The following is a 17,492-nucleotide window of genomic DNA, read 5'->3' as shown; positions in this document are numbered from 1 at the left end:
AACATACATCAAATAAAATAATTCAGAAATGTTTAAAAACTAAAAAGCTTTTTATAATTGAAAATACATAAAAACAGCTAGACAGACACACACTAGTATATATTAAACGACCCTTGGGACAATGAAGAATACAAAACAAAATTTTCTAGAAATCTAGAAAACAATAATGAAAGCAAAACACATTAGAATCTGTGAGATACAGCTTTAAAAAAATTCTTCAGGTGAAAATTCCTAGCATTAAATACAATTTTAAAAATAAGAAAGCTAAACATATAATTCAAAAAGCTAGATGTAGAATAGCAAACTATAACACAAGACAGCAGAAAGAAGCGATTAATACATATAAAGGAATTTAATGTCAGTAAACAAAAATAATCAGTAAATAAATAAATAAATTATGGGGAATAAATCAACCAAACACATAAAACAGTACCTGACCTAATTTTTTAAGAGGTGAAATGAAGAATGTATAAAATAATAAGTGACAAAAAAGATATAACTATTGACGCATACTGTGTATACCATAAGTGAAACAAATCCCATTAAAGACAGAACTTACAGACAGGCCAGTTTCCATCAAAGTAATTAAGGATGATTGTAAAATCTCTCCTACCAAAACACTCCAGGCCTGGATGATGTTGATATGGAAGCGGGTGCAGGGAAGTCCTGGGTAGAGAAGGGCAGAGTCCCTGGCAAGGGCTCCACACTGGGGCCTGTGCCCACGGACCCAGGTGAGGACAGGCACTCCTGTTTTTGCGCCCATGTGTTGCATTTTCCAAGGCCACTCTGGCCCAGCATGCCCCCAATCCTGTGCCTGTAAAAACCCTGAGACCCTGGCGGGCACACACACGAGCAGCTGCATGTCAAGAGGAACACACCAGCAGAAGAATGCATTGACAGACTCCGGCAGACCATCAATGGCAGAATGACACAAACGATGTGGAATTCAGCCAGGGGTGGTCGGAGGAGTGTTTGGCCACGGAGTGGCCCAACTCCAGGGGAAGACCACCTTCACACTCCATCCCCATTCTGGCTCCCATCCATCTGCCGAGAGCTATTTCCACCACTCAATAAAACCTTGTACTCATTCTCCACGCCCATGTGTGATCCAATTTTTCTAGTACATTAGGGCAAGAACCCCAGGATACAGAAAGCTCCTCTGTCCTTGTGATAAGGCAGAGAGTCTAAGTGAGCTGATTAACACAAGCCGCCTGCAGATGGCTAAGCTGAAAGAGCACACTGTAACACATACCCACTGAGGTAGGTGTTTCAGGAAGTGTAAACACTCAACCCTAGATACTGCTGGGAGTTCAGAGCCCACTCTCCCCATGACCTGCCCATCTGCATGCTCCTCCTAAGTATTTTTTGGTTGTTGTTGTTGTTGTTATTGTTGTTTTGAGACAAAGTCTCGCTCTGTAGCCCAGGCTAGAGTGCAGTGGTGCTATCTTGGCTCACTGCAACCTCCGCCTCTGGTTCAAGCTATTCTCCTGCCTCCTGCCTACTCCTCCCAAGTATCTGGAATTACAGGCGCACGCCACTGCACCTAGCTAATTTTTTGTATTTTGTAGTAGAGATGGGGTTTCACCTTGTTGGCCAGGCTGGTCTTGAACTCCCAACTTCAGGTAATCTGCCCACCTCGGCCTCCCAAAGTGCTAGGATTACAGGCATGAGCCACCGTGCCCGGCCAGGAACAGGCTTTCTGAAGCTTGTAAGGCCAGTAAAGAGCCTAATTCTAAGTATAAAGATTTTCTTCTATAGACTTCAGAGCTAAACTCTGGTTAAAACCAGTTCCCCAGTGCTTCTCAAACTTTCCACTTAAGGTACCCCTGGTAATTGACAAGAATGAAAACCTGCCCCTAGAAAATCAAGGACAGGGCCATGACACTGACAACAAAATCAAAATGACTCTAAAATCTGACTCATCTTAATCATTGGCATACTATTTAAATTCCATTCTATTCCATTTGGAAGTCTATCTTAATCATAAGTCATATTTTTAGTTTCTAAACCTAGAAAAAGTTCTTGGTTTATGCTGTGGCTCCTCACACTTTCCTAAACATCCCCTGGCACATCTCCCAGGGTTCCTCAGGGTGGACCCTGATGACCAGTTGAGAAACAAGACCAGGCCACTCACAAGCTGGCAGAATCCTATGGGGACCTAGAAGATAAAAAATAGAGGAACTCAGAAGCAAATTTGTAAGTGAAATTATCCCTGTTTTCTTTAGTCATGGTCCTCTCCTGGAAAAAATATGAGAAATTTTCTCTCAGCTTCCATTTAGACATGATGGATACTGCTATGAAGACCAATAATATCTCCCATATTCACAAAAAAATCTCCTATGCTTACAAGGCTTGTTCTCACAAACAAATCCAATTCGAGTGTTTGATTAGAATTAGAAGAAAATACAAGTTCCAAGGGGTGAAAATCACAATGTCTTTATCCTTACCCACCCTATTGTGCTTCATCTCCCTCTTCAAACATAGAGAATCCAATGAAAAAAACTCTCTCCTGGAGTGCTGCTGGACCCTTAAAGTATTTTGAATCCTTTTGTCTGATTACATTCCACCAATGACTACTTGAAGCTAAGCATTTGTGAATCAGCTGAGAACATCTCATCATGAAGGGCCATGCCCAGCTAACATTGAATAGTGTCTGGTTGTCTCTGCATTCCAGTTTTTTGTCTATAAAGATTTTGGAAAAATTATCTGTACCTTCCTTTCCTCAACTGGTCACATCTGTGCTATAGAGATTCCACCCTTAACTCCTCCTCCATCCCACCTCTGAGCAAGCACATAGCACACCTGGTTCAGGTAACAGAGATGGGCACATGGTCCTGGTTAGCTCAATCACAGTACCCCAACCGCTAATTATAGTGATTGGTCCAAGAAGAGATAACTTGGCCAATTCCAGAGTCCTTCCCCAGAATTTTTCAAGTAGAAGCTGAGAGAGAGATATTCTGTTTCCTCGGTGGTTTCTAAGCTGTTAGACTACAGTTCCGCTGGCCATGATCTACGCTGCAAGGAAAAGGTTACTCAATAATAGAAAAAATTAGGCTAACAAACAGAGATGAGAGATAGGCAGAGATGTACCTGGTGATTTTCAAGACTCCAGTTTTATTTTCTGATGTAAATGTTTTCCATAGTACTTTCTTGAGTTATACAAGCTACTCATAGCCCTTCCAATAAATCCCATTTTTGCTTTAGGTAGATTAAATTGGGTTTCTGTCACCAAAAATATCCTGATGGATATATCTATTACTCTTTAGTGATTTGACTGCTTCTAGAACTCTGGAGAACAGAAAGTGTGTGTGTTCTCACTATTCTTCATTGTTAAATGTATACTCAATGCACCCTCCTGGGGGAGAAGTAGAGGCTAATAAAGATGAGATTAATAATAATAGCCATTATCATTTGTTGAGAACTGACTGTGTATGAGGCTCTATGCTAAGCACTTTCATGCATTGGATCTTTTAAATCCTCACAACTCCATCAAGTAAGTAATACCACTTACATTTTACAAACAAGGAAACTGAGGTTTTGAGTTTCTTGAACTCAAATTACTCAAATTCACAGAATTCATAAACAGTAGAGGAGAATTAGAAGGCAAATCTTTCTCACTCCAGAACTTGGGTATTTAGCTACTACTTTATACTGTACTCAAGGTAGCTGGGTAACATAGACAAAATGCTTCCATCATTTTATTGTTTCAAATTGTGCATATAAAGAAGCTTCCGCAGTTTTGTATAGATATTTTAGTAGCTTCCAGAAAGGAAAACTACATGAGTTGAGTTGGCACTTTAGCTGCTTAATCATGTTTGCTTTAATGTCTACTAAAAAATAAAAGCAAGATCTTACCTTGCCCAGAGGATGTTCCAGGTTTTTGCGGGTCAATATAAATTCAGGTAAAATAGAAAGAAAATTCAAAAGGCCAAATTCTTGTTCACAGGCCAAATTCTTGCCCCATTTAGAAGAACTATTGAAATTAAATATTAAAATCTTGAAGTACCATTATATTATTCAAAGTCTGTTTTTCTGCCGTCTACTTTCAGAAAAATGAATCTCAAGAGAATAAGGAACATTTGGCTAAGTATTTTTTTCTACCAAGTATTGGGAGTAATCAGAGTGGCTTTAAGCCAAACAGATAACATTGCTCTGAGAGAATTGTCCTGAAACCATTCAAATGATTTACTGTGCTTTAAGTCCTACAAACTTACATCAAGTTAAATTAAACGAATGAGATAAAATGGAGACATCTGTCTATATATTCAGGGTGTATATGCCGATGTTTGTATACAACATATATAATGCTACTACATCACTTTACCCTTTTTGTCACAGACAATAACTCAAGCTTTATGCCAGCTTTATGCCAGCCAAGGGGATCATAACTGGCAGACCTCAGTATATTTTACACTGCATTAGTGCATTGCTTCAGCCAGCTAACGATCCTTACTTTTCAACCCATCTCTTTCATTAGTGAATCTGAATTTACAGGCAACCTCTTTCTCCTAATGCACAGAGCAGCTTCCCTGGCCCCTATGGCATATTGTGGCTTCACACCTAAATCAGTCACAGTTCTAGGACTTTCAGGATTTGGAAACTAATCCATTTAACTTTTCAGTAGGAACAATAGTTTCTTTCTGAGAAATGAGCTATTTAATTAGAGCCTTTCTCTTCCTACCTCATTCCTAACACATCAGTTCTAATGAATTGTCTAAAATCTGTTTTCCCTATTAGACTGTAAACCACAGGAGAGAAAGAATGAAGCCAATCTTGTTCGCAGAATCTAGCCCATGCCTGGTACATGTAAATACTTAATAAACATTTGATGTAGCTTTTATTGTTATGTAATCATAAAAAAGGCCATGCTGGATCACATTAGTGGTCCATTCATAAATACATCTGTGGTACGATTGTCCTATCAACAACTGTTTATTTAGTGTCTACTATGTGTGGGGTACCATGCTGGGGGAAACAAAAATAAGTAAGACCATCTCTGCCTACAAGTTGCTTACGATTTCAGAAGGAGCGATGAGACAATTTCAATAGGTATAATCCAAGATGAATAACTTAGGTGCTATGAAAGAAGTACCAAGAAAGTGCTACAGGAATTAAAAAACATCTTATTGTCAGAATCTGGAAAGGAGAAGGTAGCTTTTAGATGGAACATGGAGGATGGTTGGAATTCTCAAGAGAATGGAAAGAAAGGAAGCAAAAAACTCAAGGGCACAGCAGGAACACAGACCAGAAAGTGTGAGATCTTTTCAGGGCAGTCTACTTGTGACTCCAGTGTACCAATAGCTTTGGTTATATGCAGAAGCCGTGGTGATAGTGCAACGTCTAAGCTGGTCTTACATATGGGAGCCTTGCATATCAAGGCAAGGAAGGAGGAGCTGGGGCTTAATTCAGATACACAGAACACCCTTCATGGCAATGGCCCATAGGAGACCATAGTCATTTTCAACATTTGGCTATACATAGATGTCTCTGATTCCCTTCAATGACTCCCTTCAGTGACTTTTTTTTTTTTTCTCAAAGCCAAACACCGCTAGTCCCTATGCTGCCCCTGGTAGCAACTTGATTGCTTTTTTTTTTTTTTTTCAAACTTGCCAATAATTTTCAAATCCTGGATTCTTTACATAAATTGTAAAACAATTCTATTTTTTCTTTTTTAATTTCTGTGCTAGTCTTTTCTTTAGGGAAGAGAGGAGTTCACTCGTGAGTCAGGCGCAGAGCTCAAAGTCTTATAAATTATATTTGTCTCATTAAATTTTCACAACATGCAAATCACTTGGATACTATTATCACTCCCATTTTAGAGATTTGCAAAGTAACGTCATTGAGCTGTTAAGAATCGGAGATGGATTCAAATTCAAGTGCCTGATTTGGAAGGCGAACTTTTAACCACTCACCATACCATACTGATTCTTTTAAAGAGTTCATTTCTAACAGCATACAGTCAAAATGTGGTTTTTTTCTGTCATTAGTTTTCAATGTCTTTACAATTACCTCCACAAATGTATAGGATTTATTTGACTACATGAGGAGAGAAAGTCTAACTGCAAATGATCTGGCTCATTCTGCCTAGACAGGAGAAGATGCCACACTGGCACTGCTCTTCACACTATCAAACATTATTTTTAAGTCTGGGATATTTTCCAAATCTGAAATGCTGCCTTTATTTTCCCCAAACCAAATAATAACTGCCTTGCTTCCAACAAAAATAGAATGACAGAATTATGTTTGCTTCTGGTTTTTATTTTTCCAGATGATATCAGAAAACACAGAGGGAAACAATATTCTCAGAGTCTTAGGCAAAAGTGCTAGATAATACATTTTTGAACAGTAGTGAAAACATAGCCCTGGTAAATAAATATATATTGATTTGGTTGATTTATTCATTCTTTATGTACTAGAAACAGTTACCTATAAAAGGTAATAACTGACTGGAACATAACATCTGGTTTGATGTATTCCCTCAGTCACTGAAATTACAGAGAAATCCAATGCTGAAATAAACTTTTGGAAACAAATTACTTTTATTACAATAATGCTCTCAGCTGCAAAAGCAAATGCTACTCAGTTTAAATTATAATATAAAATCTAAATATTCATTATTTTAAAGACAGTAGATTTGTCACAAGATAGGTTTGTAAATCAAGAATTCTAAATGGCAAGGGATATTCTTGGTCTCTGGTGGCAAAATTTATAGGAGCATCAATTTAGCCTCATATGTTTGAGTTTACATACGGTTGGTCATGGACGTATAAACATTCATTTGGAGAAAATCTAATGGTAAATTTTCAGAACACATTATTCAGAGAAGGTAAAAATCTACTTTTATATCGAAGTCCAGAGTCAACACACTCATAGGAAACAGTAAGAAATGATGGATAAAATTATGCAATAGCAAGCTAGCAGAGTGGGGAAAAGCACGGTTTTTCAGGGCTCTGACCAAGGGAATGAGCTGTAGTGCCCTTGCCCGGCAGGTGTAATCACAAAGCTCACTATCTAGTCAAGCACAGAAAATGTCTCAATAGATATTATTATTAAATAAAACAGATGTCAACACACATCCTCATCCATCAATTTGGCTAAACATGGCTTGAGCCCCCTTGATACAACTGAAGTTAATCCCAACCCTCTCCACATTTCTGTGAGTTTCATTTCATGCTTTTCTACACTTCTTTCTTTCCGAGGATATTTTATTGTTATTCACAGTCTTCTTTCAGTTGAATGCTTAGTTTCTGAATTTTCAGTTTTTCTTGTTTTCATATATGTGTTTTAAATCTATAAAGATCCTCCACAAATACCTTTCCAGCTACATTCTCATTTAAGCTGCGTTCTCATTTCTAGTCCGTGTTAAATATTTCATAACTTCCATTAAGCTTTCTTCTTTAACCCATTAAGTATTTAGAATTGTGTTCCTCAGTTTCCAATATTTGGCTCTGGGGGAAGTTATTACTTGGGCTATTTTTAAAAATTAATTTCTGATTTATTACATTGTGTTTAAAAATTGTTATTAGTGTAATATGCTTTGGAATTTGTTGAGACTTCCTTTATTGCCTAGAATGTTACCAATTTTTCAACACCTGTTTTATGTTTGCTTAAAAAGATGTGAATTTTCTTTTTGTGTTTTTAAATTATACCTTAAGTTCTAGGGTACATGTGCACAATGTGCAGGTTTGATACATAGGTATAAATGTGCCATGTTGGTGTGCTGCACCCATCAACTCATCATTTACATTAGGTATTTCTACTAATGCTATCCCTCCCCATGCCCCCCACCCCCTGACAGACCGTGTTATGTGATGTTCCCTGCCCTGTGTCTAAGTGATCTCATTGTTCAATTCCCATCTATGAGTGAGAACATGTGGTGTTTGTTTTTCTGTCCTTGTGATAGTTTGCTGAGAATGATGGTTTCCAGCTTCATCCATGTCCCTGCAAAGGACATGAACTCATCCTTTTTTATGGCTGCATAGTATTCCGTGGTGTATATGTGACACATTTTCTTAATCCAGTCTATCATTGATGGACATTTGGGTTGATTCCAAGTCTTTGCTATTGTGAATAGTGCTGCAGTAAACATACGCGTGTGTGTGTCCATATGTTGGGTTCAGGGTTCGGTATGTTTATTATTAAATAATAATTGTTAATTATGTTATTCAAAACTTCTATAGCCTTTAGTTTTGGTCTCTCAATTTCAAAATCTCCTACTTAGTATCTATATTAATTTCTTCTTACGGTTTTACTATATGTTGATTTTTAAATTTTTAAGGTGTATTTTCAATGAATACAAAACCACTGTTGTTGAATAAGCCATGTAATATTTTCTACTACTTCAGTCTTGTGCTGTTTTTAACTTCAGAAATGGTTTAAATTATTTTCTGACTCAGAATCATGTATTGCATTTAGTTGGTTTTTTTTTTTTTTTTTTTTTTTTTTTTTAGACTTAGTCTCACTCAGTTGCCCAGGCTAGAGTGCAGTGGTGCGATCTCGGCTCACTGCAAGCTCCGCCTCCTGGGTTCACGCCATTTTCCTGCCTCAGCCTCCCAAGTAGCTGGGACTACAGGCGCCCACCACTACGCCCGGCTAATTTTTTTGTATTTTTAGTAGAGACGGGGTTTCACCATGTTAGCCAGGATGGTCTCGATCTCCTGACCTCGTGATCCGCCCGTCTAGGCCTCCCAAAGTGCTAGGATTACAGGCGTGAGCCACTGCGCCCAGCCTGGTTTGTGTTTTTAATCAGAAGTCCCGCAGTCTTTTTTGTTTTTTATAATGATATTAGGAGTACCAATCAGCTGTTTTGCAGAAGGTGCCAAAGTAAGGGTCTGTCTGATGTTTCCTCATGATCATATTCAGTTTACATATTTTTGGCAAAAATGCTACAAAAATTATGTTATGTCCTCTTCAGTACATCATGTTAAGGGTTCATGATATTGGGTTGTTCCATTACCTGTAATGTTAACTTTAATTGCATGGTTAAGATGATATATGCCAGTATTCTCCTCCTAAAGTTACTATTTTTCTCTGTAGTTACTAAGTATTTTGTAGGGAGATACTAGGGTATGTGTGGAGGTAGGGGGAGGTATTAACAAACGTTCCCTTACTGGTTTTAGCATCCTGTGATAATGCAATCCTGAATCATTTATGTTTCTGGTGCTTTCTAAATATATATTTTTGATGTATGAAAAGTTTATTGGCATTCAATACTTACCTATATTTCTTTAGAATATAATGGATTGAAGAAAAATAGCCAAAGAGATTGAATAACAATTAAGAAAGTAAGACTTACAAAGGACCAATAACTTCACCAAAAAATTCTAGCTCTCTCCTAATTGAAAACGTCCAAATTAAAACAATGAAGCATATGTTTTCATCAAGCAAATTTGCAAAGAAAAAGAATAATAACATTCTGTGGCAGGATTTTCAAAAACAGAAAATCTTTGTGTTTTTATACTTTCATAACTACATCTTTACTGCTACAGCTATAACATAGATAAAAACTTTTTGGAGGCAATTTGGCAGTATCAAAATATTTTTCCCTTTCAACTTTTATTTTAGATTTAAGGGGTACACGTGCAGGTTTGTTACATGGGTATATCACCTGATGCTGGTGTTTGGTTTAGCAATGCTCTCATCACCCAGGTACTGAGCATAATGCCCAATAGTTTTTCAACCTTTGACTCCTTTCCTCCCTCTGCCTCTAGACGTCCCCAGTATCTATTTATTAGTGCATCTTTATGTCCATAAGTACCCAATGTTTAGCTCCCACTTATGAGTGAGAATATGCAGTATTTGGTGTTTTGTTCCTGAAGTTATTTGCATAGGATAATTAATGTTACCCTAATGTCATCCAATGTTATCCATGTTGCTGCAAAGAACATGATTTTTTATGGCTATGTAGTATTCCATGGTTTATATGTTCCACATTTTCTTCATCCAACTGAACATTGATGAGTACCTAGATTGATCCCATGTCTTTGATATTGTGAATAGTGCCGCAATGAACATACAAATGCATGTTGTAGAATAATTTGTTTTATTCTGGATATATACCCAGTAATGGGATTGCTGGGTCGAATGGTAGTTCTAAGTTCTTTGAGAAATCTTCAAACTGCTTTCCACAGTGGCTGAACTAACTTACATTCCACCAGCAGTGTATAAGAGTTCAGAAATCTTCAAACTGCTTTCCACAGTGGCTGAACTAACTTAACATTCCACCAGCAGTGTATAAGAGTTCCCTTTTTTTCCACAGCCTTGCCAGCATCTGTTGTTTTTTGGCTTTTTGCTAGTAGCCATTCTATCTGGTATAAGATGGTATCTCATTGTGGTTTTGATTTACATTTCTCTGATGACTGGTGATGCTGAGCATTTTTCATATGTTTGTCAGCTACTTGTATGTCTTCTTTTGGTAAGTGTCTGTGCATATCTTTCACCCATTTTTAATGGGGTTATTTGTTTTGGGCTTGTATTGTTTAACTTCCTTATAGATTCTGGGTATTGGACCTTTGTTGGATGCATGCTTCCCAAATATTTTCTCTCATTCTATAGGTTGTCTCTTTATTCTGTTGATAATTTCTTTTGCTGTGCAGAAGCTCTTTAGTTTAATTGGGTTACTTGTCAACTTTTGTTTTTGTTGCAGTTGCCTTTGAGGACTTAGTCATAAATTTTTTGCCAAGCCCAAAGTCCAGACCTAGGTTTTATTCTAGGGTTCTTACAGTTTGAGGTCTTACATTTAAATCTTTAATCCATCTTGAGTTAACTTTGTATAAAGTGAAAGGTGGGGTCCCCGTTTCATTCTTCTGCATATGGCTAGCCAGCTATCCCAGCACTGTTTATTGAATAAGGAGTCCTTCCCCCTTGCTTATTTTTGTCAACTTTATCAAAGATCATATGGCTGTATATTTGTGGTTTTATTTCTGTGTTCTCTATTCTCTTCCATTGGTCTATGTGTTGTCTGTTTTTATAACAGTGTCATGTTATTTTGGTTATTGTAGCCTTACTGGTTAGTTTGAAGTTGGGTAATGTGATGCCTCCGGCTTTATTATTTTTGCTTAAGAATGCTTTGGCTATTTAGGCTTTTTATTGGTTCCATATGAATTTCAGAATAGCTTTTTCTAATTCTGTGAAAAATAACATTTGTAATTTAATAGGAATGGCATTGAATATGTAGACTGCTTTAGGCAAGATGGCCATTTTAATGAAATTAATTCTTTCTATATGAGCCATGGAATGTTTTTTGTTGTTGTTGTTGTGTGTCATCTATGATTTATTTCAGCAGTGTTTTGTAGTTCTCCTTGTAGAAATCTTTCACTTCCTTTGTTAGAGATATTCCTTGGTGTGAGTGTGTGTGTGTGTATGTGTGTCTATTGTAAATGAGACTGTGTTCTTGATTTGGCTCTCAGATTGAGCATTATTAGTGTATAGAAATGCTACTGATTCTTGTACATTGATTTGGTATCCTGAAACTTTACTGAAGTTGTTTATCAGTTCCAGCGGATTTCTAAGTATAGAATTATATTATCAGGCCGGACATGGTGGCTCACACCTGTAATTCCAGCAGTTTGGGAGGCCAAGGTGGACAGATCACGAGGTCAGGAAATCGAGACCATCCTGGCCAACATGGTGAAACCCCATCTCTACTAAAAACACAAAAGTTATGCATGCTGGGCATGGTGGCATGCACCTGTAGTCCCAGGTACTTGGGAGGCTGATGAAAATAATCATTTGAACCCAGAAGGCAGAAGTTGCAGTGAGCCGAGATTGCACTACTGCACTCAGCCTGGCGACAGAGCGAGACTCTATCTCCAAAAAAAAAGAATTATATTATCAGTGAAAAGAGATAGTTCAACTTCTTCTTTTCCTATTTTAGATGCCTTTTATTTATTTCTCTTGCCTGATTGCTCTGGCTGGCACTTCTAGTATTAAGTTAAATAGGAGGGGTGAGACTGGGCATCATTTTCTTGTTACAGTTCTCAAGGGGGATGCTTCCAACTTTTGCCCCATTAGCATCACATTGGCTGTGGGTTTGTCGTAGATAGCTGTAATTATTTTGAGGTATGCTCCTTTGATACATAGTCTCTTGAGGGTTTTTATCATAAAGAGATGTTGGATTTTTTCAAAATATTTTTCTGTGTCTATTGAGATGATCATATGGTTTTGGCTTTTAAGTCTGTTTATGTGGTGAATCATATTTATTGTGTATGTTGAGCCAATCTTGTATCCCAGGAATGAAGCCTACTTGATTGTGGTGAACTAACTTTTTTTTTTTTTTTTTTTTTTTGAGACAGAGTCTTGCTTTGTCACCAGGCTGGAGTGCAGTGGCACCATCTCGGCTCACTGTGACCTCCACCTCCTGGGTTCAAGCAATTCTCCTGCCTCAGCCTCCCAAGTAGCTGAGACTACACGCATGTGCCACCACGTCCAGCTAATTTTTGAATATTTAGTAGAGAAGGGGTTTCACCATGTTGACCAGGATGGTCTTGATCTCTTGACCTTGTGATCCACCTGCCTCAGCCTCCCAAAATGCTGGGATTACAGGTATGAGCCACCGCACCCAGCTGGTGAATTAACTTTTTGATGTGCTGCAGGATTTGGTTTGCTAGTATTTTGTAGAGAATTTTTGTATCTATCCCTGTGTTAGGGATATTGGCCTGTAGTTTTCTTTTTTCATTGTGTCTTTGCCAGGTTTCGGTATGAAGGTGATGATTGCTTCATAAAATGAGTTAGAGAGGAGTCCCTCCTTCTTGGTTTTTTGGAATAGTTTCAGTAGAATTGGTACCAGTTTTTATTCATACATCTGGTAAAATGTGGTTGTAAATCCATCTGGTCCATGGCTTTCTTTGGTTAGTAGGTTTTGTATTAATTATTCAATTTCAGAACTTCATGTTGGTCTGGTCAGGGTTTTAATTTCTTTCTGATTTTATCCTGGAATGTTTTGTTTCCAGGAATTTATCTATCTCCTCTAGATTTTCTAGCCTGTGTGCATAGAAGTGTTCATAATAGTCTCTAGGAATCTTTTGTATTTCTGTGGGATTGGTTGCAATGTCACCTTTGTCATATCTGATTGTGCTTATTTGGATCTCCTCTTTTTCCTTTGTTAAACTAGCTATCAGTCTGTCAATCTTGTTTAACCTTTTAAAGAACCAACTTTGGGTTTTGTTGATTCTTTGTATGGATGTTCGGATCTAAGTTTCATTGAGTTCTACTCTGATTTTAGTTATTTCTTTTCTTCTGCTAGCTTTGGGGTTCATTTGTTCCTGTTTTTCTAGCTCCTCTAGGTGTGATGTTAGATGATTTATTTGAGATCTAAGTTTCCTAGGTAGGTGTTTAGTACTATAAACTTTCCTCTTAACACTGCTTTTACTGCATCGCAGAGATTTTTATGTTTTGTCTCTGTTTTCATTTATTTCAAAGAATTTTTTTATTCCTGCCTTAACTTTATTGCCTTCAGGAGTAAGTTGTTTAATTTCCATGTAATTTTGGGGTTTTAAGAGATCCTCTTGGTATTGATTAGTGTTTTTATTTCACTGTGGTCCAAGAGTATGCTTGATATGATTTTGATTTTTTTGAATTTATTGACACATGCTGTATGGCTGAGCATGTGGTTGATTTTAGAGTATTCTATGTACAGATGGCAAGAATGTATATTCTGCGGTTGATGGGTGTGGAGTATTCTATAGATATCTGTTAGGTTCAATTGGTCATGTGTCAAACTTATGTCCAGAATATACATGTAGGTTTTCTGCCTCGATGATCTGTCTAATGGTGTCAGTGGGGTATTGAAGTCCCCCATTAATATTGTGCATTTGTCTAAGTCTTTTTATAATTCTATAAGTAGTTGTTTTAAGAATCTGGTGCTCCAATGTTGGGTATGTATATATTTAGGGCAATTAAATCTTCCGGTTGAATTGAACCTTTTATCATTATATAGTTTCCTTCTTTGTCCTTTTTAACTGTTGTTGGCTTAAAGTCTGGTTTTTTTGATATAAGAATAGCAATCCCTGCTCTTTTTTGTTTTCCATTAGCTTAGTAGATCTCTCTCCAGCTCTTTACTTTAAGCCTATTGGTCTCATTACATGTGAGATGGCTCTCTTGAACAAAGCAAACAGATAGGTCTTTTTTTTTTTAATCCAACTATATGGTCTGTGCCTTTTAAGTGGGGATGTTTAGACCATTTGCATTTAGGGTTAATATTAATATGTGAGCTTTGGTTCTATCATGAAGTTACTAGCTAATTGCTCTGTAGTTTCTATTGTGTGGTTGCTTTGTAGGGTCTATAGACTGCCAAATGCTGATTTTCTAACTCTACCTTTCTGTCTATATTTCTTAGTTGGCATTCTACTCTGAAGAAGAGCTTGTCTTTATTCCCCTGTCCTGGCCCTATTGCCACATAGCAAAACACTCCAAGATTAGAGGCATAAAACAACAACCGTTTTGTTATAGTTACACATACCTGTAGTCAGGAGTCTAGAAAGTGCATAGTGAAGAGAGACTTTCACTACCCTATCATTTCTCTTTTAACAACAAGCAGCCAGAAAGGGCAGACAGTAAAACACAGATAAGACAACTCAGGCACAGAGGGAGCAGGGGGGAAGTCTCTTGGGTAACTGCCAAACTTCACCTTCATACAGTGGGCCCCAGTAAAACACTGGGCCATAATAAGCACATTCCTTTCCCTTCAGGTGCGCTAAGATAGATAGGAGCTAAAAGCAGACTCGGTGGGTATGCCTGCAGCTGCATGAAGATGTATGGGAACAGACACAAAACTCTCCCTCCCAGATAAGCACAACAAAGAGACACAGAAGTAATCCAAGCCTCTGATAAACTCTCCTGCCCTGAATCCTTAAAAACTCTTAGTCTGTAAAAGAGAGTGCCTCTGACCTAACTCAGCCAGAAGCCCCACTCAGGTTTATTTTCCAAAATAAACCTATCTTTAACAGTGAAGCTGCTTTTCATGTTTCCTTCCTCTTTCTTTAATTCTTACACCTTTAAAGACAGTATAAATAAAATACTGTGAAATCAGTACTTAAGGACTATAAGTGTATTTTGTCTTCACAAGGTAGAAATTATGCTTTCACAGTATAAATAAAATACTGTGTATAAAGGTAAATTGGTTTATTCTCCCATCCTTCACCCACACTTCAGTCTGATTATGTTATTTATTAGAGATAGGCTCATTTTTTTCTTGATTATATTCCATTTTAGGATATTTTACCTATCCTTTTTGATATTATTTTATATTTTAGGTAAGTAAAACATTAATATAATACCAAAATTTAAAACTATGCAAAAAATAGAAATACTGAGAGAAGTGCTAACTCTTCATCCATTCAACCCCATTCTCACCCATATCCTATAGGTAATCAAACTCATTAGTTTCTATTTATCCTTCATATGTTTCATTTTGAAAAAATACCAGACATATTTGTTTTAGGCTAAATATTTTTATCTGATTACAACTTTAAACTTACCTCATAGATACTGGTATGTGCTGATTTCACTAACATTAGACCATTTTCTTCTTTGTCTCTTCCTTCTCCTTCCACTTTTTAGTTGCACTATTTCTACCTTATGAAGACAAATAAAAATTATATAGTATTCTTCCTCCCTCATCTTTGCGTTTGATAAATCTACAATTAATACTCACAATAACCTCTTTTCTACAGTTTCCCCAATAGTCTCTTGGTTAGATGCTTATCCTCTGGTAGATTCCTTAAGCAGGGCTTGTGGATATAATAGTCCTTAAATTCTTCAATCATTAAAATGGTTTTTATGTATTCTTACTATTTGAAGAATAGTTTGGCTAGACATAACATCTTTGTTTCATAATTTCTCTCCTTTAGATTTTTTCCAGTGCTGTTACACTATTGCTTTCCTTCATGCATTTATTTTTTAAGTCAAGCTTATGGAGGTAAATTTTACGTACAGTAAAACTTACCCTTTTAATGGGTGCAGTTTGATGAGTTTCAGAAAATATATAAGGTCATGTAACAACCACCAAAATAAAAATATATAAACCACCACCAACCACCATAATAAATATATTTCCACGTCCCCAAAAAGTTTTCTCCTCCCCTTTTATAATCAACACACTCTTTGCATCCAGAGGCCCTGGAAAACACTAATCTACTTTCTGTTCCTGTAATTCTGCCTTTCCTAAAATTTTATATAAATAGATTCATATACTTTATAGTCTTTTGTGTCTTTTAGCATAATACTTTTGTGATTTATCCATGTTCTAGCAACACTCAATGGTTTCAACATACTAACTATAGCTACAACATGATTTTTTATTTATTTACCAGTTGATTGATAGTTGTGTTGCTTCTAGTTTCTAACTATTATGAATACAGTTGCTTCAAATATTTACGTGAAGGTTTTGTATGAACATATGTTTTTATTTCTCAAGAACACATACCTAGGAATAAAATTTCTGGGTTATATAATAAGTTTATGCTTATTTATTATTATTATTTTTATTATTATTATTGAAATGAGATCTCATTCTTTTGCCCAGGCTGGAGTGCAGTGGTGTACTCACAGTTCACTGCAGCCTCAACCTCCCTGGGCTCAGGTAATCCTCCCACCTCAGACTCCTGAATAGCTGGGACCACAGACATGTGCCCACACACCTCCGTATATATATGTATATATGTGTGTGTGTGTGTATATATATATGTATATGTGTGTGTGTGTGTGTGTGTGTGTGTATATATATATATATATATATATATATATATATTTTTTTTTTTTTTTTTTTTTTTTTTAAGAGAGTTTCACCGTGTTGCCTGAGCTAGTCTCAAACTCCCGGGCTCAAGAGATCTGCCTGCTGCCTCAGCCTCTCAAAGTGCTGGGATTACAACCATGAGCCACCACACCCAGCTATTTATGTTTAACTTTGTAAATACATATCAAACTGTATGTTATTTTTGAGAAATCAAATTCCAGTGTAACTCTTATTCTTGTAAGTTAACTTGATTTTTTTTGCCCTGAGAACCTAAGGACTTTTTCTTTCTGTTTAAAGTCTGATAGATTTACCAAGATATGTATCAGAGTTCATTGTTCTGAATGAATTTTCAGAGAGTGAACCGTTTCATATGTGGATTTATTCTGTTTTTCAGGAATTTTTCTTGAATCATTGTTTCAAATTTTAGTTATCTTGTTTTTCTTTTTAGGCAAGCAAATTATGCAACATGTGCATTAGACCTTCTTTGCCTAATTTCCATTGCACTCACTCTCTCTGACCCTTATAACTCATCCATTTATCTTGTGTTCATTCACTTTGCTGTTCATTCACTCTGCTTTTATCTTGTGTTCATTTACTCTGCTTTTCTTCAATTGTTTGTATTAATTTTCCATTTGAGTTCATTCACTTTGCTGTTCATTCACTCTGCATTTATCTTGTGTTCATTCACTCTGCTTTTCTTCAATTGTTTGTCTTAATTTTCCATTTGAGTTTATTTAAGAGGAAGGCACCTTATAATTTA

Source organism: Homo sapiens, chromosome 10, assembly GCF_000001405.40.
Source record: "Homo sapiens chromosome 10, GRCh38.p14 Primary Assembly".
Taxonomy (NCBI): Eukaryota; Metazoa; Chordata; class Mammalia; order Primates; family Hominidae; genus Homo; species Homo sapiens.
The sequence above is the reverse complement of the archived record's forward strand: the minus strand, read 5'-3'. Positions refer to the sequence as shown.